Source organism: Homo sapiens, chromosome 1, assembly GCF_000001405.40.
Source record: "Homo sapiens chromosome 1, GRCh38.p14 Primary Assembly".
In the NCBI taxonomy this organism is placed as follows: Eukaryota; Metazoa; Chordata; class Mammalia; order Primates; family Hominidae; genus Homo; species Homo sapiens.
In genome coordinates this window covers 219,195,840-219,217,208 of record NC_000001.11, presented here as the reverse complement: position 1 = coordinate 219,217,208, position 21,369 = coordinate 219,195,840, and the positions used below count along the sequence as shown (strand labels likewise).

At 34.2% G+C, this 21,369-nt stretch overlaps 1 protein-coding gene and 1 pseudogene across 29 annotated transcripts in view, besides 1 other annotated feature; one reads left to right on the top strand and one right to left on the bottom strand.

The window, feature by feature from the left end:
• Positions 1 to 21,369, bottom strand: part of LYPLAL1 (lysophospholipase like 1) — a 271,619-nt gene that overhangs the window by 228,288 nt on the left and 21,962 nt on the right. For 22 of the 29 annotated variants that reach the window (XR_007078557.1, XR_007078562.1, XR_001736967.3 and 19 more), the window contains 2 exons: positions 6,562 to 6,677; positions 5,457 to 5,717 (listed from right to left, as the gene is read on the bottom strand). Coding sequence is in view for 10 of the 29 variants with exons in the window: in XM_017000271.3 (XP_016855760.1) it covers positions 5,481 to 5,717; positions 6,562 to 6,677 (353 nt within the window). In the remaining 19 variants the exon portion in view is untranslated. Of the gene's footprint in view, positions 1 to 4,350; positions 5,718 to 6,561; positions 6,695 to 21,369 lie in introns of those variants that run through there. The other 7 variants (NM_001300771.2, NM_001350628.2, NM_001350629.2 and 4 more) reach the window with 2 other exon arrangements.
• Positions 1,574 to 1,643: an enhancer, noted in NCBI's record as "active region_2546". NCBI's record gives its function as "activates an Ori minimal core promoter by ATAC-STARR-seq in GM12878 lymphoblastoid cells {active_cell/tissue: GM12878}" and the evidence as "EXISTENCE:reporter gene assay evidence [ECO:0000049][PMID:35858748]".
• RIMKLBP2 (ribosomal modification protein rimK like family member B pseudogene 2) lies at positions 16,303 to 17,357 on the top strand (annotated as a pseudogene).

The following is a 21,369-nucleotide window of genomic DNA, read 5'->3' as shown; positions in this document are numbered from 1 at the left end:
AAATGTATGCTACTCTTAAGGCAAAATGCATCCATAAGGATTTTAAACATGAATGGCACAGAATATGGTCAAGATAAAACATTCAATATTTCAAAGTGAAGGTCATTAAAAGCTTTAGAAAATTAAAGCACTGCATGAGTTGAGTCTTCTCTGAAGGGATTTTATTAAATTCTCAGTCTTAGAGGAAGGAAGAGACTTCTACTTTTGACCAATATGATCAAGATGGAATAATGGGGTCCAAATTAATTCTACTTGAAACAACTAGAAAGCTGTACTACATATATGTTTTTACATATTGTACTCTGGCAGCACAGGACAGTCATTCCTTAAGAAAGGAAGACAAATGAGGTAAGCTCTAAGGACTGCCCCGGCTTACTGTCTGTATCAGTTTTCAGATTGCAGCCTGGGGAGGGAGATCTAGCTGGGGCCATGAGGATACTGAGCTGGGAGTCCACAGAGGTCAAGAGCTTAGAGTTCACAGAGTAGAGTACTGCACACAGAGTACCAGAGATCTGCAGAGGTGCCCCCGCAATTCTTCAGTAGAGTACTAGTCATCAGATATGTGTGAGGAAACCATGAACCTCCTGAAAGGAAGAGGAGCAATAGGTGGGGCTCACATGAGGATGAGAAGTTTGTGTTCCCGCTAGCTATAGTGTAAAAACCTCACAATCCAGACAGTATCATATAGAGTATGACAAAATGTATTGCTTGAGTAGTGTGGCAACATTAGTCCTGAACTAAACACTGCTCTGCTACCACCAGGAAGCCACAGAAGAAAGTCTGAAAGGATAAAACAGTTTTTAATACTTTTCAATAATTGTATTCCATGACAAAACTTGTGAATATTTAGAAATCCAAAAATACCAAGCACTTAACAAGATAGAGCTCACATGTCTAGAATCCAATCAAAAGTCACTAGATATTATAAAGGGACCAACAAAATACTACCCTTAATGAGAATAAAAATATATACAAACTCAAAAATGATAGACTCAGAAAATATTAAAAATTGCTATAATTATATTCCATATATTCAAAAAGGCAGAGATTAAGCCTATTATATAGAAAAATGTAAGAAATAAAAAAACTAGAGATGAACAGTATCTGATATGAAAAATAAGTGCATTTTAGAATAAAAGATCAATGAACTTCATGAAGTATTTCAGGCAGAAGGAAAATGACACCATATGGAAATTTAAAGCTATATCATGGAATGAAGAGCAATAGAAAAGGAAAATGTAAGGGTAATATAAAAAATTTTAAAATCTTTTTAAAGGATCATTTAGCTTCTAGCTGTGATGTAGTAACAGGGAATCTTATTCTTTCACCTGAAACAAAGAAAGAAACACATGGCAAAATAATAGAAAAAATGTCTTTTCAAAAGCAGTGGACATTGGGTAGTAAAGGACAGTGAACCCTCAGAAATGGGAAACAAACAGGGTGAGCTTTATGACTACTCTGGCTTACTGACTTAAGTGAGTCCCAGTCCACAGTACAGGGAGGGGAAATCCATGCAAAGCCTGGTGGACTCCCTGAGATGAGACACAGTTATGAGTCTGAGTAGATCAAGCTGGCTACATTTGATAGGGCAGAGTATGAGAGACAAGTGAACTGCACAGAGAGAGAAGTCCTGAGATCTAGAGATGGTCTATCTTGAGTATTAAGCAGACTACTGATCACCATGGGTGTGAGTAAACACCCTCAGGCTGGGGAAAGAACCACCCACAAAGATCAGAGGGCACTCCAAGCACAAGACACGTGAGAAATTATACCAAGACACACAATAATCAAGTTGGTCAAAATCAGTGGTCAACAGAGACTACTAAAACCAGCAAGAATAAAAAGACACAATAGATACAGAAGAACAGAGATAAAAATGACAGAAAATTTATTGTCCGAAATAATTCAAGTAAGAAGATAGGAAAACAACATGTTTAAAACACTAAGAGAAAACATGTTTATCTGGAATTCTACACTCAGTGAAAACACCTTTCGAAAACAAATGTAAAATACAGACTTCATCGACACAAAAGCTGAAATTTATCACCAGATTTGCACTCCAAGAAATATTAAAGAATGTACTTCAGTCACAATGAAAATACCAGAAAAAAAATACAGGTCTTCACAAAAAATTGAGGAGCACCAGAAATGGTATCTTCATGGGTAGATAGGTAAGATTTTTTCTCATTATATAATTCATTTTAAAGAAAAATTGCCTGGGTCAGGTGCAGTGGCTCAGGCCTGTAAATCCAGCACTTTGGGAGGCCAAGGTGGGTAGATCACTTGAGGTCAGGAGTTTGAGACCAGCCTGGCCAGCATGGTGAAAACCCATCTCTATTAAGAATACAAAAACTAGCTGGGGATAGTGGCAGGTGCATGTAATCCCAGCTACTTGGGAGGCTGAGGTACAAAAATCTCTTGAACCCAGGAGGTGGAGTTGTAGTGAGCAGAGATCACGCCACTGTACTCTAGTAGACTAGGTGACAAAGCAAGACTCCATCTCAAAAAAAAAAAAAAAAAGAAAAGAAAAATTGCTGGTTTAAATAAAGTAATATGACGTTGATGGTACATGCAACTTATATCTATAAGCAAAATAACAAAAGTAGCATACAGGCTGGGAAGGGAAATATGAAAGGTTATTATAATAAATGTGAAGTGGCATAATATTGCTGTAAGAAGATAAAAAGTTATAGTATGCGGAAATCTCTGGGCCCAGATGATTTCACTAAAGAAATCTACCAAACAGTTAAGGAAAAATTAATAGCAATACTATATAATTTATCCCAGAAAACAGAAGAGGAGAAAATACTACCCAATCTATTTTATGAAGCTAATACTGTCCTGATACCAAAACCAAAGATAGTACAAAACAAGCAAAAACTGCAGACCAAAATCTTTCGTGAACATAGACACAAACATCCTTAACAAAATATTAGTGAATACAATTCAGCAATATATAAAAATTATACAATATAACCAAGGGAGTTTATTTCAGGAATGCAAAGCTAACGCAATATACCAAAATTGAGCACCACAGTAACAGACTGAAGAAGAAAAATCACAAATATATTAATTGTTGCAAAAAAATCATTTGACAAAATTCAACAGCCATTCATCGTAATAACTCTCAGAAAAGCAGGAACAGAGAGGAATATCATCAATTTGATAATGGACATGTATTAAAACACTACAGCTAACATATTTAATGATGTAAGACTGAATGCTTTCTCCTAAGGCTGGGAACAAGACAAGGATGTCTGCTCTCACCACTCTTGTTCAGCATAGTACTAGAAGTTCTAGCCAGTGTAATATGCAAACAAAAGAAAATAAAAGGCATATATTTGGAAAGGAAGAAATAACACTGTTTCAGTTTGTGGATGACATAATGATCTTTGCAGACTATCCTAAAAATCTACAGAAAAACTCCTAAAATTAATAATTGAGCTCCATAAGATCAAGACCAACATATAAAAATTGTGATTCAATATGCTAGCAAAGGGCACTTGGAAACTGAAAATAGTACAAACCACTTATAATCAATCGCAAAATAAAATACAAGTATAAATCTAACAAAATAGGTACAGAACTTATATGGAGAAAGCCTCAAAAACGCTGATAAAAGAAATCAAGTATCTAAATAAGTGGAGTAACATATCATGTTTGTGGATTAGAAGATTCAACATAGTAAGGATGCAAATTCTCCCCAAATTGATGTACAGGTTTAAAATAATTCCTATCAAAATCCCAGCAAGAATTTTTTTTTTTTGTAGATACAGACAAGGTTGTTTATGTGGAAAGGAAAGGAACAAAAACAGTCAAAAGCAATCTTGAAAAAAAAATAAACTGAGAGGACTTACTCTACCTGATTTCAAGACTTATACAGTTATAGTAATTAAGACTATGTGATGCTGGTTGAAGGATGGATACATAAATCAATGGAACAGAAGAGAGAACCCAGAAACAGATCCACAAAGGCAAGATCTAGCTGAATTTTGACAAAGGTGCAAAAATATTTCCATGGATGATAGTTGTTTCACCAAATAGTGCTGAGACACTGTTAATCAGCATATAAAAATTAACACATTCATTTAGAAAATGTAAATTAAGCCACAATATATTACTACCATATACTTACTGAATGGATAAAGGAGTCATAATGAGTGTTGGCAAGGATCTGGAGCAATACTACTCTCATACACTGCTGCTAGAATGTAAAATGGCACAACTATTTTCTCAAAGAGTTGGCTATTTCTTGGAAGGTTATAAGTATGCCTAAAATATAACCCAGCCATTCTACTCCTACTTATTTACCAAAGAAAAATAACATAGGTCGATGCAGAGACTCTTACATGAATATTCATAGCAGCTTTATTTAAAACAGCCTCACACTGGAAGCAACTTATATATCAGTGGTGAATGTGTAAACAAATAGTGATACATCCACACAATGGAATATTACTGAGCAATAAAATAGATGAACTATTGATGTACACAACATGGAAAAATCTCATGATAATTTTGTTGAATGAAAGCAGGCAGGTATTGTATGATTCTATTTATACAAATAGGGATAATGTATATTTAATAAAACTTAAACAGTTGTGAGGATCAAATAAAATTAGATTATGTATGCATGAGAACCAACTAATATATGAAAATGTTATTATTTATAGTATTTTCATTGAAGTAATACAATTTTTCAGTCATCTAACAATGTATTCCTGGAACCAGATCATGACTCTCCTTATGGTTAATCTTTATTGAGTGTTTATTATGTATTGGCTTTTGGCTATTTATTTAAATCTCAACAAAAATCCAATGGGATAAGTACTATTAGTATCATTTTACAGATGAAATTGAGACCTAAAACAGAGCAGCAATTTGGGTTAACAGAAATAGAGCTCCACTGAGAATTAGGAGACCTGAATTTCTTGTCTTGACCTGCAAGCTGTGGGAAAGTCTTTAACTCCTCTATTGCTATTATTAAATACCAGTAACAACTTCTCGGCTTACTTCACAAAGCTCTTGTGATGATCAAATGAAATAATGTGAAACCGGTTTATAAACCTAGAGTATTAATGTTATTCCGTGGAAAATTACATAAACACAAATATCTTTGGAAAGGTAATTTAAACAAAGTTGTAGAAAAGATAAAATAACATTATGCTAAGTCCTTTCATGTTTTTTCATTGTCCTTATTTATATTAGTTTAGAATACTTTATTTCAAAAATTTAAAAGTTTAAATACTTAAAAGGTTTCCAAATATTTACAGAATTGTGTCTGAAAAATTATGCACAGATGTTTGTCTATTGTTTTTCATTAATAAGATTAGCTACTGTCTACAGTGATAAGCATTTTAATAATAAAAAAGTCAGGAAAGTGTTATTTCTTAATATTTTAATTATCATTATAATTTGGCAGTAAAAATCACTTTTCACAAAGACATTACACTTACATTAACAAATCACTCTTGATTCATTCATTTTTGTTTTTCCATTTCTCCTGGCAGCTTTGTAAGAATCCATAACTTCAATATGTCTAACTCAGTTTTGCTTAGCTCATGGTAAACATTTGGAAAACTATGAAACTTCGTGGTCACTCCTAGAGATTTTAACATTGAGTTTGTCTCTTCTGCCCAAGAATGAAGAACTAACTCATCTGCAGTACCATGACACTGAAATAATTCAGGAAGTACACCATTACTCTTCTGAAGAGCCTAGAGAAGAAGATACAAAGACAGAAAAGTTTAAGAAATTCCATTTAAGATCATTCTTAGAAATCAGAGAGAACAGGAAAATTCCAATTTTACCAAGGCTTCAATAACTAATGGGAAAAAAAAGGCAGAGGGAGTGCTGTCTGAGGTATACATTGGTGGGCCAGGCCTGGGGACTTAGCTGGTTCCTGGCATCACTCAATTTGTAACTGTGTGTCACTTACATTTATTCTATAGAGGACGTCTTAAAAATGGCCAAAGCATTTCCTAAAGAAACTAAGTGACTTGGGAAGACAGACCTCTTCACACAATGTGGAAGGAGGGAGGAGTACACAGCTAAGGCACAATCAAGGGGACAATTACATTTTAGTTCTCTATTCTGTATCTGCTTTAACATTTCCACTTCTGGTACTGAAGCTGTAACATTATAATTGAAGCTGCATCATATTCATAGATGAGGATATTGCTGCATAATAAGTATGTGCTATGTAATTGATTTTTGTTTTATGTTCATGATGCAATAAGCAAACCCAGCTATAACCATCATGCAGTTTTAATATGTATAAAATTTACATATATGCTCCCCCACAACCACACACATGATTATCCTTTCCTCCTTGACATTTTGCTTAACAATATTTCTTGTACAGGGGATTTCCAAAACATTAATGATCAGCTGGAATTTAATCACTACGACTCATTTGGCCATGAATTCCAGGAATGGTCAATCCATATCAACTGTGCATCAACTGTGTGTGTGTTTTACAGCTTTATTACCGATTTTGCTTTAGTTTTAACATGTATATATTTCATATTTTTTTCATTTTTTTTTAAATCTGGAACTTACCTGGTAAACAGCAGATGCTTTATTCAGAAAACTAGAAAGAGCAAATACTCCTGCCACATCTTGATGATTTCTATATGCTAAATGTATTGCCATGCATCCTCCCATAGAGAATCCTCCTAAAAACAAAAACATACTTAAAAGTAGAATACATAAAATAATAATTTAGGATATGATATATAACAATTTTCCATATTTTTAAAATATCTGGAGACCTTTAAAGAGAATGCTAAAAAGAAATTTCGTCTACTCTAAGTTTCACAGACAAAGGCCTGCGATAACATAAATAACCCTGTTCCCTCTATGTCACCACTGGTAAAGAGAGCTGTGCTCTACAAGGAGCCAGGATTAAACAAATATATCATGTTCACCAAGTAAAATATCTATCGTAATTCAAAATGAGTCATATTACAAGCATTACTTAAATTCTCAATATTTACTTATATTTTGTTTACACGTACAGAAACCCTCACACTGCAACGCAATTAATAATTTGCACCTTTTTGTCTTACTTGCTAAGCTGTGAGCTCCATAAGGAGTTATGTATCTGGTGTTTGCTATATAATAGATGCTTAGTGAATTCTGAATTAAGAATGATAAAAAAAATTTGAGGAGCTAGTTAACACATTTTTGGATTACAATATTATTTTGGAAACTAATTTATGGTGATATAATAAAAATGAAACATGTATGCCTATATGTAGTTTTTAAAACCAAAGTTTGAAAAAAAAATTAGTCAAACTGTTATTGTCTCTTTAATGTACCAATTCTATGCCAGTCACTGGATATATGCAGATTAAAATACACAGACCCTCCTGTTCAGGGGAACTTTGAGAAGGAAACACATCCAACACAGAATATGGAGATAGCTGTTATGAGGTGACGGCAGCAGAGAGAATGGTGATTCCAGGCCTGACGACAAGTCAGTGACTCAGTGTGACATTCCTAAGCTTGAGAGAAAGCTAAATGACATCTCATTATATTCCATGAGAAAATACAGAATGTAAATCATGTAGCCACACACTCATAGAAATACAAAAATATACTTTGAAGTAGAATTCAAATCTCCTAATTTCAAGTCTGCTGCTTTATTTCACTTAACAAAGTGTAAAGCTGAGCTCTTAAGAGACCATAAATTTGAATTTACTACAATAATCTTTTATACATGGAGGGAACTGAGGCCCAAGATTAGGTACATATTATTTTAAATATAAAACTATTAATAGTAATTTTGGAATTCGGATCTTTTGCAATAGAGTTTAATATACTTTCTACTATCCCTTGATATTTATTAAAATAGGACTACTTTATCTGGAATAGGCAGGTAATATTATTTTGGACTCAGAACACAAATACCCGAGAGAAGATTACCAGTCTGGCAAAGTTTAGATTTTTTAAAAAAGGCACACTATGTAAATAATGAATAAAAGTTATCTGTGATTTTCAACATACCAGCAAGAAATAATAAGTTCTTATCGTAGCAGTAGCCCACCATGGACAAGAGCCACCTGAAAGGCTCTTTCAAAATACCCCCAATAACTCCAGATGTAGATACATCTAATTAGAAGTTCATAAATGAGCTTGGTGGGGGAGAAAAAAGCATAAGCATCTTAACACTGTATGTAAAATTTGCAAATGTACATTAGATTCTCCAAAAGGTTAAAAGCCACTGGGCTACATTATCCATGAATTTGTGCATTAATAAATCTTTGACATGTCCCATTTAGATATGAACAGCTTACGTAAATACACAAATTAGTATTTCTGGTAAACATTTATTGTAAGTACACAGAAAAAAATCTCAACTTTATTGTTTTTTGCCACAATTCTAGTTACAGATTTCTCTCTGCTTATGAAGTTTTCTCTTTAATAACATCATGAGGGTTGTAAAGCGAAGACATTTTGAAATAAAATTCTTATCGATTTAATTTATTGAATATAAATTATTGAGATTTTGAAACCCTTAAGGGTAAGAAACAGTTTTTCTTCAATAATCATATTTTCATTGAGTGCTTATGATTAGCTGAACAAAGTGTCTCTGTGGTGCACGCATACTAATGAGTCAGTTTCAACTTTACACGCTCAGTGGTAAGTATAGTGCTTTGCACATAGCAGTAACTCAATAAAAATTTAACTGAATTTTTAGAAACCGTATGGGTTTCTAATGAAAGTAGTAAAAAATTTACAAATATCTCTTAAGCTTATCAAAGAGACAACATTAAGGAAACTAGTTCTAGTCCTGCCTGTGATACTCCCAAGCTGAATGTCTTTGTGTAAATTATTTAAAATGCTGGATTTCATTTATAGTAAAACAAGATAGATGGACTAATCTCTAGATTTTCCACCAACCTTTTAAATACAAATACTTAATCAGTTATAAAAACTAAAATTGCGAGAACTTTTAAAATGTACAGTTACTGTAAATACAGAAATCTACTTTCAGTTTAAGAATCCCTATCTCTCAGAACACAATTCTAGCTTTCCTAAAAGTTCACAGAATAGAGCTTACCAAACACTCACTTCCTTCATCTCTTCCAATTTCCCCTCTGTTCTTTACAGCCCATTTACTTACAAAGGAATTTCAGGTTGCTTAAAATCAAACACACTGTTAATAATAAAACTACATCTCTAAAATAGGAGAGAATGTGAGAGAGGAAGAGATGGGATTTGAGCAAAGAGTGAGACACAGAGAATAAAAAAAGAGACTTACAGACCATGATGTTAGGGTGGGGGCAGTAATTACGTGTGCAACTGGGCATTTAACAGTTTCTCTGTAGCAAGGCAATATTCTTTAACAGAAGGAATCATAACAAGTCATACTAGAAATTTTTCTTAGCATTGAATTCCTTAATAGAATTTATTAAATGGATCTTTATTAAACATAAAATTCAAAATCAGACATTCTACATACTGCCACTTCTGTTGCTGATTCTTCTCATAAAATTCTGGGACATAAAGACTTAACTTTCACTAGAATTTAATGATGGGAGCTGGGATTTTTGTGTTTTATTCATCAATGTATCCCTCTATGCTTACAACAGTGCCTGGCACACAGAAAGTGCTTATACTTATTAAACAAATGAACAATGTAACTGTAACTCAGTAACAATATCTCTGCAAGGAGACAAATTTATCATCAGAAAATGTAGGTTTTTGGTGATTTAATTTGATATAAAAGTAAAGCTTAAAAAAACCTACAAAATCTAGGAATGAATGATTAGTGTGCTCCAAGCCCATCATTCCTAATCTGACCTCTTAAAAATAAAGATTTTAGACCCAATCCCAGACCCACTAACAAAATCTCACTGCATATGTCTAATTTTTAAAAGCTCTTATGCCATAAATCAGATGTCTGAGAATCACAGCTGTGTGGCAAATAATTCAAAATTAAGTAAAATGGGTAAAAACAAAAAGTTAAAATATGGTCACCATTTAAAGAAAATCCACACGCGATAGATAACAAGGCTGCAGGAGCAAATTTATTATTTTTTTCTGAGAAATTCAAGAGCCTGAATTATGTGTCTGCCAAATGTAACTAATTAATATTTGAAATATGTTAGTGTGACCAAGGAACCAATTCTATATTTTATTTAACTAAAGAGCAACATGTAGCTAGTGGCTACCATAGTTCTAGACCATCTAAGCTGTACGAATGATTGAAAAAAGCTTCAAAATTTATAAATGAAGCAAAAATAAAATTAGTATTTCATAGATAATTTTGAGGCTAAGATAAAGATCATTAAAAGATAAAATGTAAATAAAAGATTAGTAGGCAAAAACTTACATTAAAAAGAGATTTTAAAAGCATAACTATCAAGAAAATTTTACATATGAAGTGACAAACACTTCATTTTTGTTGACCAGGGAATGTAATCACTTTATGTAGTTTCAGAGACTTTTGATGGTAACAACTTAAAAAAAAAAAAAGAGAGAAAGAAAACATTTACCCGCACATAAAATGTCATTATGAATACACATAAATGCATCCTGCAGACATTTAACTTCATGTTTAATTCTCTTAAGTTACAATGAAGAAAAATATACTCATTGAAATATTATTATTTTAAGATTTAATCTAAGTCCCTTTCCCATTTATGATTTTGTGAGGTAATCTGCAACTCCTCACTAGCCGTCTTTGACAATACAATGACCTTTAGCATAGGACACTACTGTGAAAAGGGACTTTGTGTATTTTTTCCTAACAGAAGAAAATTTAACACAAAGAACTAGTTATTTGAATTCAATTTTCCACCTAAGAGTCTAAAAAATGATATAAAATCTACTGTTCAATAAGTAAATACGAAAATAGTAAATCCATTGTAGGTAATGGTTATAACGGGTATTTACGGTTGCTGGCAAAGTATTTAAAATGTCAAGAGTTAACATTTCAACATACACTTAAGATTAACAAGCTGAATAAAACATGTTAAAAAATAATAAACCTGGCTTTATGAACTCTTTATATAAAATAAAACAGAAACAATCTATAAAAAGACTATATTAGGAACATTAAGATAATCAATCTGAAAGTAAAATCCTTAAAAAAATCCACTTAAAGTGTGCTATCAACTGAAAAGAACTTTAAACATGCAATAAAGTCCATTACCATTCTAAATTTCAACACCTCTTCCATTTAACTGGTATACTATTATAATTATTCTTCAGATTTGGGAATACAGAAATTATGACTATTACATTTATTTGGATATCTCCTCTCATACAAAACTTGTGGGATAAACAAAATATTTATTTTCCTCTATGGAAAACTGTTAGAACAACAGTCCAGAGCCTTTAAAGTCCTACTAGTTGTTGAAGAAACATAAAATGTTTAATTAAAATACATATATGTTCAAAGAAAGTAGAAGAATGCTATCATTCTGAAGTTTTAGCTCCCAGCTGGGCTATAGAGAAAACGTGTACAAGTTCAGAAAAAGGCAGGCTGGAAATTTTGATGCTAGACTTCATCTTGGGAATTCTAACTATCCCTTCATTTATTTTTATTTTTAATCTTATTGCAAAATTAATATACACCCATTGTACAAAATGTTTCTTGTACAAAAGTTTCTTGTACAAAATTTTACAATATTTTGTACTGTACAGAATTTTGACATGTTCTCTTAAATTTCATTTTTACAGTTAAACTAACTCTACATGTTCAATGTATCTTATTTTTTTCATGTAATACTAATTTGAAAGTCTTTCTACAGAATTACAAAATTTTATAATTATTTTTAATTGAACACATACTTACTGAGTGCTTTTGTTTTTTTTGTTTTTTTTTTTTTTTGAGACGGAGTCTCGCTCTGTCGCCCAGGCCGGACTGCGGACTGCAGTGGCGCAATCTCGGCTCACTGCAAGCTCCGCTTCCCGGGTTCACGCCATTCTCCTGCCTCAGCCTCCCGAGTAGCTGGGACTACAGGCGCCCGCCACCGCGCCCGGCTAATTTTTTGTATTTGTAGTAGAGACGGGGTTTCACCTTGTTAGCCAGGATGGTCTCGATCTCCTGACCTCATGATCCACCCGCCTCGGCCTACTGAGTGCTTTTTATGTGTGTGTGCATGTAGTACTTAATGGTTACATAATACTCAATTCTATTAATAGGCCATCATTCCCTCAACCATTCCTGTCATGATGGATATTTAGATCATCCACGTAAATTACTCCAGTGTAGTTCCAGAAAGACTTGATTCTCTCTGCTTCAAAATTCTGATAATATGCTTATATTATCAAAATTCTGATAAATCTATTCATATCATTTGTCAGGTTCTATACATCCTAGATCTAAGTTAAGCCTAAATTATAACAGTATTCTCTCTTAACAACGAATTATCACCACCTAGTGGCCAATAAAGGAAGGTATTATGGGGACCCGGGTTCTAGTCCCAACTCTGTATTAGCCAGGAACACTTTGAATTTTAGTTTCTTCACCTCTGAAATGAAAATAATTATATCCTACTTTACTTTTACCTACTGCAAGACCCAGGAGATCTAATGTATATAAAAACAACTTCAGAACTTAAAACATTACCTAAATAGAAAACACTGACATGTAATGGCAATTTTAAAACTATCCAGTGCAATATAGATGCCAATTAATTTAAAGCTATCTCTACCATATGTACTTTCTAAGCACAACAATACACAAGGGAAAAATGATATACCTTTCTCCAGTTTCCTGTCTTAGACAGAAACAAACTAGAAGGAAATGAAGAGTTCAAGACAGGCTTTAATAATGATGGAGAATGTACTGACAATAAAATGCTTATATTCTGCACACTGGACACTGTTAATATGTTAATAAAGCCAGAAGAAGGCAGGACAATCTATTATTAATAATTTTCTCAGAATACAGAATTTGAATCCTGGTTCTGTCAATGACTATACTGCCAACTTTCGAAAAGTAATTTAAAAGTCACTATTCTATTGCCTGTTTTCCCTAAGTTTTATCTTAATGTCTGGTAGAATCATATGAAACATAAATATACAAAAATAAATTTTAAAAAATCAACATTTTTCTTATATTCCTAATGTGCAGAGTGAGGATCCATGAATGTCTCCAAGGAACCCCCTTTAACTGAACATCCCCTGTAATGAGCCTTTTGCTGAGTTCTCTCTCTCTTAACAAAGTTTACTATTTTTTCTATTAAGAAAGCAGTGCATATCCATTGCAGAAAGCTTAGAAAACAAAAAATTTTCATAGCTAAACCCCACAGATGATTAAAATTTTAAATGTAGTTTTACTCATCCTGGTATTCCTGAAGTCTTAAAATAGTGTGTCAGTTTAGCACTTCATCATTCTACTAGATCTATTGCATTTGCTTTCTTGCTGTTTTTCTGACCTTCACACTGACTAGTCAGCCCTCCAGAGTTGTCAGCATAATCTTTCTAAAATGCCCATTTGATCACATCATTCACTCCCTGTATATAATTCAATGATACTAGGATTTGGGATGTACACCAAACTATTTCCTGGAAGGATTTAATGTGTCCCTTGCTTTCTTTCATGAACATGTTTCTGTCCTTGTTTACCAGTCACATTCTCAATTATTCTTTAAGACTCAGTTGCCACTTCAACAAAGCAGTTCCCAACTCCCAGAAAGATTTACTTCTCTCCTTGCTGCTTACGCTATACCTTCGACATTGTTCTTCAATAATACCTGTACAGTATTAGAATACTTTACTTCCCTCTCTGCCTTACTAGACTGTAAATTTCTCAGTTTCTTTTATACTCCAGCACATAACATTTTATTGACAATTTGAAAATAAAATTTAGTGAGAAGTATCATTTTTGACCTGTCCAAGCTAGACACACTACCTAGAAAAGGTAGAAGATCACATACTGTAAAAAAAAAAAAAAAGTTTGTAAAACTGAGTTCAACATAACAAAGTACCACTAATCAAATAAAACCGCAAAGAATGGGCTCCTATCTACATCAAATACAGAGAGTAGTTTTGTTTTATAAAGTTACACAAACACAACTACACTCTCAGAGATTGGGTCCCATTAGGACATACTGTCTTACATTAAATCAGAAATCTGAACAGATTATTAAACAAAATAAAAGGTTAACAACTTTTGAACCTATCCCCTTCATATTTCTTTTCCAATCTTACATTTTGCTAGTTTTTCCCATTATAATTCATTTTTAAAAGAAACCTAGCCTGGGCCAGACATGGTGGTTCACAGGTATAATACCAACACTCTGGGAGACTGAAGCAGAAGATCACTTGAGGTCAGGAGTTTGAGACCAGCCTGGGCAACATAGAGAGACTCCATCTCTACATAAAACAAGCAAACAAAAAAAAAAACAGCCAGGCATGGTGGCAAGTGCCTATCATCCTAACAATTCAAGAGGCTGATGCAGGAGGATCACTGAGTCCAGGAGTTTAGGTTGCAGTGAGCTATGATCACGCCACTGCACTTCAGCCTGGGCAACACAGCAAGACCCTGTTTCAAAAAAAAATTACCTAACTTCATTCCTCACTATGGGTTGTGTGTGCTTAATAAAAATTGTTTGGAATCTCAAATGCATTTTTCTTTTATTTCCCACTGAATCCCTCCTTCATTAAAACGTTATGAATAGCACTTAAATCTGACCTAACAACTTAAATGTACCCTAATAGACACTGTACAAAAGTATAAAAGCTAGTAGAAAAATACTAAACAGTAACTCTTGTTTAAATAATCTAGGAGCAATGAAAAAGAAAGAGGGAAGCAGAGCTCATATACCACTGAGGAAAAAGTAAGCAGCTGGTAGGGAAGAAACAACTAAGCTACCTGTAAGTCTCCAAGTGGTACCACTGTTCCAGTGTGGCCTTTTGCTATCCAGGTGACCATAGGATGGGTGGTATGAAGTATGTAATAATGGCAAGAAAACTTTTTCAACATTACATGTCAGACACATTTGTATTTCACATGAACTGACTAGTTCAACTACCACAACTTTAAAAGGTAGATATTATTACCATCATCCAAGACACAGAGAATAAGGAGACTGGACACCTACAAAGTGAGGAATATAGGATTAGAACTCAGCACTCTGAGTCTAGAGCCCAAGTTCTTAACTATGTTATATGATGTCAGCTTAAGGGCATTTGTAATTATGATGTTTCTAACTCAGGGAATACATACATGAGAAGTTCAGCTAGATCACTAAGGTAAACAACAAATACATACGAGAGGTTCAGCTAGATCACTAAGATAAACAACCACCACAACAAAAAACTGCAACAAAAGACTTGAATATTATTTGCTCTATGAATCAATAACTAACGTATGTGAAGAATCCAGCATATGAAAAGTGGGGTAATAGCACTAATGTTTTGTCACAGTATAAGAGGTCAAGAAACGTGTGTTTTGTGGCATGTGTATAATTCCATAAAACTTAGTGAAGATTTATTTTCACTGGCTGGTTAAAGAACTATACAGTTAACAAAAACAAACATGACTGCCTTTGCACTTTTGTGGTCTCTTTCTGTATCTCAATGTAGAAAAAAGAGGCTTTATAGACATTAATTAGCTCATCTCACAAAAAATGTTTTTACCCCCACTTTAATTTGGTATATTATATATTATAATATGAAATTAATAAATCTTAGATTTTATAATTTCATAAGTCAACATATCTTCCAAAAAGAAATTTTATTCTCATAAACCCAAAAGAGGCTTAACAAAATACTGACCATATAACTGGTGCTTTAGAATTATAAATAAGACTGTCTTTTAACAAGGTTCTCTTGGTACTTCAGAAAATAGTCTTCCATTATATGGTAGAAAGAAACAAAAATAAACTCCAGATGAGTCAAATAATTCAGTGTAAAAAAAAAAGCAACACTAGAAAAACCAGTAGAAAATTTATTTTATATTCACCCACGTTCTAATGAGAAAACTTAAACTCAGAAATTATTTCAAAACAATTATAAAAGATTTTAAAAGTTTTTTTATGTCAAACTATAATGGAATTGAAAATAACAAATTAAGCACAAATTAAAATTAGTTACCACTTCCTGTGTACTTATTTTGAGAAAAATTTTTTCAAGACCATATTAATCAATGTAATAAGGTTCTAATTCTTCTAAAGATGGTTGGAAGTATCAACTGGTACACTTTTTTTGTGACAGGAATTTGATAATACGTATTAAGAATCTTAAAAAAGTTCAGCTAAATGTAAGAATCGTTGGCTTTAAAATGAAATAAAGTTAGATTCAAAATTCATATTGGCTCTCAGACCTTAAGAAAATCCAGAGATTCCAGGTTAGTGGACTGCTTCCTTGTACCAGGAGGCAACTCCGGGGAGACAGAAGCTCCTGTCCTCAGGACCCTTCCAGACCTTGCCATATATATCTCTTCACCTGGCTGTTCCTCTCTTCTTTATAATATCTTCTATAATCAAGTGATAAACTTTATACTGAAGAGGAAATAATCCAAGCAAGGAAGAGCAAGCAGATCAAGATGTGTAGCTCTTTTGGCTGCCGAGTTGTGGTTTTTGACAGATCGTGGCATCAGGAACACTACCCCCAAAAGAGATCTTGTGAGCACTGAAGGCCAAATGCTGTGAAGGCCAAGGGTTGTGGTGATGGATGATGTGGTATCAACAATCCAACAAGGAAAGCAGGTCTACGGATCAACTGCTTATCCCACGTGGTGGCAGTGACAGTCCAACCCTTGGGTGATATCAATGTTTTGCACCATCTAGAGAAGATGGAATGCCAGTTGATGAACTGACCTCAAACCATCCTGAAATGTGCTAATAAGTGGTGGGCATTTCAAGAGTTGGTTGGCCATGGTGTTCCTCTGTCAGATACTTTTTCTTATGATGGCTATAAAAATTTTGCTAAAATGACTGATGAAACAGAAGTACTGGAGCTACAAATGGTAGTGAAGAATACATGGGGTCATAGAGGTAAAGCTGTTTTCTTGGCTCGAGATAAGCACCATTTATTTGGCTGATCTAAGCCATCTTATTCATCATGAAGCTCTATACCAATTCCAGAAGCATGTAGAAGAGTTTCAGGGACAGGATATATGTTCCACTGTCATGGGAGGCTGTATGGTTGGCACCATGTTACATTGTTCAACAGATGGAAGGATGCAAAGCAACTGCTCACTAGGTGGTGTGGGGATAATGGGCTCACTGAGTGAACAAAGGAAGCAGCTAGCTGTCCAGGTGTCTAATATCCTGGGGATGGATGTGTGTGGCACTCATCTCTTGATGAAAGATGATGGCTCCTTCTCTGTGAGGCCAGTGAAATTTGCTATTTTCCTTCAGATGGACCTTAAATTTAATTTCTTGGACACTTGAAGGCAATAATATTCGAGACCAGCCTGGGCAACACGGTGAAATCCCGTCTCCACAAAAATACAAAAAATTAGCCGGGCGTGGTGGCAGGCGCCTGTAGTCCCAGCTACTCAGGAGGCTGAGGCAGGAGAATGGCGTGAACCCAGGAGGCGGAGCTTGCAGTGAGCCAAGATCACGCCACTGCACTCTAGCCTGGGCGACAGAGTGAGACTCCATCTCAAAAAAAAAAAGAAAAAAAAAAATTAGCCGGGCGTGGTGGCGTGTGCCTGTAGTCCCAGCTACTTGGGAGGCTGAGACAGGAGAATTGCTTGAACCCAGGAGGTGGAGGTTGCAGTGAGCCGAGATCTTGCCACTGCACTCCAGCTTGGGCGGGCCACAGAGCGAGACTCTGTCTCCAAAAAAAAAAAAAGATCAGTATTAACCAGCTTTAAGAGAGGTTTGATCATGCTTACTTGTACAATTTTTCCCCATTTTAAAAAGAAGTGTTATAAAATTTTTTACCATACACTTAAATAATATTAAAATTGATTGAAAGGTTGATTATTCATGAACAGAATAATACTTCTTGTCTGTACAGGATCTCATTTCACCTCATAAAAAATATACAAAAGAGGAGTTTCTAACTTATCTTCGGATATTCTAATCATACCTAAAAGAATTTGTCTTGCACAGGGTAACTGAGGGACTCACATACATATATTAGTACCTCCAACTCATTAACAGAAAGAAATACTAAATGCTTTTTTTCACTGAATGACCATACTTTGGAGTACGCATACTACTTGGTATTGAGAAATAAATGGGGAAGAGAACTGCTTAATTAAATCATCATTCATATGTTCACGTATAGACCTTCTGGTTGCCACATATATTATGATATATATACTTTGAATAGTTATATGTCATGTGTAAGTAGACAAATGCATTTAAAAACACAAACAGAACAACCTCTGTATTTGATGAAAAGCTCAAGTTTGTGTTGGTGGGGTATGGGAACCAGGAAAAATGTACGTAGCTTTTTTTCAACTTAACCAACTATATCATAGGAAATGTCTGAAATTAGTTCACTTCTAATTTTACTTACCATCTTTTGTGCATTCACGTAATATTAAAACATAGCTTTAGCAACCTATTTCTGGGCTGTAAACTTATACATCAGAATGAAAAGGGGAGAAATGGTTAACTTAGATTTTATAAACATGGAGATCTTCTTGAATACCCTTAAAAATTAAGGTAAAGAATAAGAAAAAATTATTCTGGAAGAACCCAAAAGAAACAGCAATAGATATTTAAGTGAATGTTAAATTTATTTTCATAAATGTTTAATAACTTATGTAATTTCATTTCCATTATGAGAAAAAATATATCAAATGTGTAATCATGATAAAATCTTAATTACTGTAAATTTTTATGTCAAAATTAATTCTAAACTATACTTTAAAAACATTTCTGATAGTTTTTATATCACCCATGAAAACTGGATTATATATAGCATATATAATATGTACATATATGCATATATTATAAGCTATTCTACTTAAAATGTTTAATAATAGTTTTTTTTCTTTTTTGGTGCCTATAATTGACTGGTCATTTCTGCTAGCTTTTCTACAATGAATGCTGAAATACTTCTGTATATGCTGTCAATCAGAAAACTACCCTGGAGCATTAGAAAAATTCAACAAGAGACTTGATTTAATCAATCACATTGTCGGACTTTGAAAATATATCAAAGGCACTGATTTTTAAAAATCATCTTTTTCTCAAGAAGAAAATGGAAAAACAAATTATCTTCATTCAGTGAGCCCCAAGTTTGGGGTTTGAGGGGGCTTACAGACATTGAAAAATCAAGTCTTGTGTTATATTTTTCTCCCAGGTGACTTTTTTTGAGGTTTATGGGCAATCTGGCTGGTAAGACATGATTCCCTCTAAGAAAATATAGGTGCTCAAACAGGTAACCTCTCCTGCTACTGTTTTTATATGTGTGTTTAACTTCATTTAAGATTTGTTTCTGCTTTGAGAAGCATCTGTTCATGTACTTTGCCCACCTTTTAATGGGGTTTTCTTTTTCTTGTAAATTTGTTTAAGTTCCTTGTAGATTCTGGATATTAGACCTTGGTCAGATGGATAGATCGCAAAAATTTTCTCCCATTCTGTAGGCTGTCTGTTCACTCTGATGACAGCTTCTTTTGCTGTGCAGAAGTGCTTTAGTTTATTAGATACCATCTGTCAACTTCTGCTTTTGTTGCTATTGCTTTTGAAATTTTCATCATAAAATCTTTGCCCATGTCTATGTTGTGAATGGTATTGCCTAGATTTACTTCTAGGGTTTTTATAATTTTTGGTTTTACATTTCAGTCTTTAATCCATCTTGAGTTAGTTTTTGTATAAGGTGTAAGTAAGGGGTCCAGTTTCAATTTTCTGCATATGGCTAGCCAGTTTACTCAGCACCATTTATTAAATAGGGAATCCTTTCCCCACTGTTTGTTTTTGTCAGATTTGTTGAAGATCAGATGGTTGTAGATGTGAGGTCTTATTTCTGAGATCTCTATTCTGTTCCATTGGTCTATGTGTCTGTTTTTGTACCAGTGCCATGCTGTTTGGTTACTGTAGCCTTGTAGTATAGTTTGAAGTTGGGTAGCATGATGCCTCCACCTTTGTCCTTTTTGCTTAGGACTATCTTGGCTATATGGGCTCTTTTTTGGTTCCAATTTTAAAGTAGTTTTTTCTAATTCTGTGAAGAATGTCAATGGTAGTTTAATGGGCATAGCATTGAATCTATAAATTACTTCGGGTAGTATGGCCATTTTCATGATATTGATTCTTCCTATCCATGAGCATAGAATGTTTCTCCATTTGTTTATGTCCTCTCTTATTTCCTTGAGCAGTGGTTTGTAGTTCTCCTTGAGGAAGTCCTTTGTATTCCTAAGTATTTTATTCTCTTTGTAGCAATTGTGCATGGGAGTTCATTCATGATTTAGCTCTCTGCTTGCCTACTGTTGGTGTATAGGAATGCTTGTGATTTCTACATATTGATTTTGTATCCTGAGACTTTCCTTAAGTTGCTTATCCACTTAAGAAGCTTTGGGGCTGAAACGATAGAGTTTTCTAGATATTGGATCATGTCATTTGCAAATAGACACAGTTTGACTTCTTCTCTTCCTATTTGAACACACTTTTTATTTCTTTTTCTTGCCTGATTGCCCCAGCCAGAACTCCCAATACTATGTTGAATAGAAGTGGTGAGAGAGAGCATCTTTGTCTTGAGCTGGATTTCAAGGGGAATGGTTACAGCTTTTGTCCATTCAGTATGATACTGGCTGTGGGTTTGTCATAAATGACTCTTCAGACATTTCTCAAAAGAATACACTTATGCAGCCAAAAAACATGAAAAAAAGCTCAACATCACTTATCATTAGAGAGCTGCAAATCAAAATCACAATGAGATGCCATTTCATACCAGTCTGAGTGGCAATTATTAAAAATTCAAGAATTTTTGAATTTTGAATTTTTAATATGCTGGCAAGGCTGTGGAGAAACAGGAACACTTTTACACTGTTGATGAAAATGTTAATTAGTTCAAGGATTGTGGAAGACAGTGTGGCAATTCCTCAAAGACCTAGAACCGGAAATACCATCTGACCCAGCAATTTCATTACTGGGTATACACCCAAAGGAATATAAATCATTCTATTATAAAGATACATGCACACATATGTCCACTGCAGCAGTATTCACAATAGCAGACATGAATCAATCCAAACGCCCATCAATGACAGACTGGGTAAAGAAAATGTGGTACATGTACACCATAGAATACTATGCAGCCATAAAAAGGAACAAGATCATGTCTTTTGCAGGGACAAGGATGGAGCTGGAAGCCATTATCCTCAGCAAACTAACACAGGAACAGAAAACCAAACACTGCATGTTGGAAGCTGAACCATGAGAACACATGGACACAGAGAGGCAAATAACACACACTGGGGCCTGTCAGGGAGGCGGTGAGAGG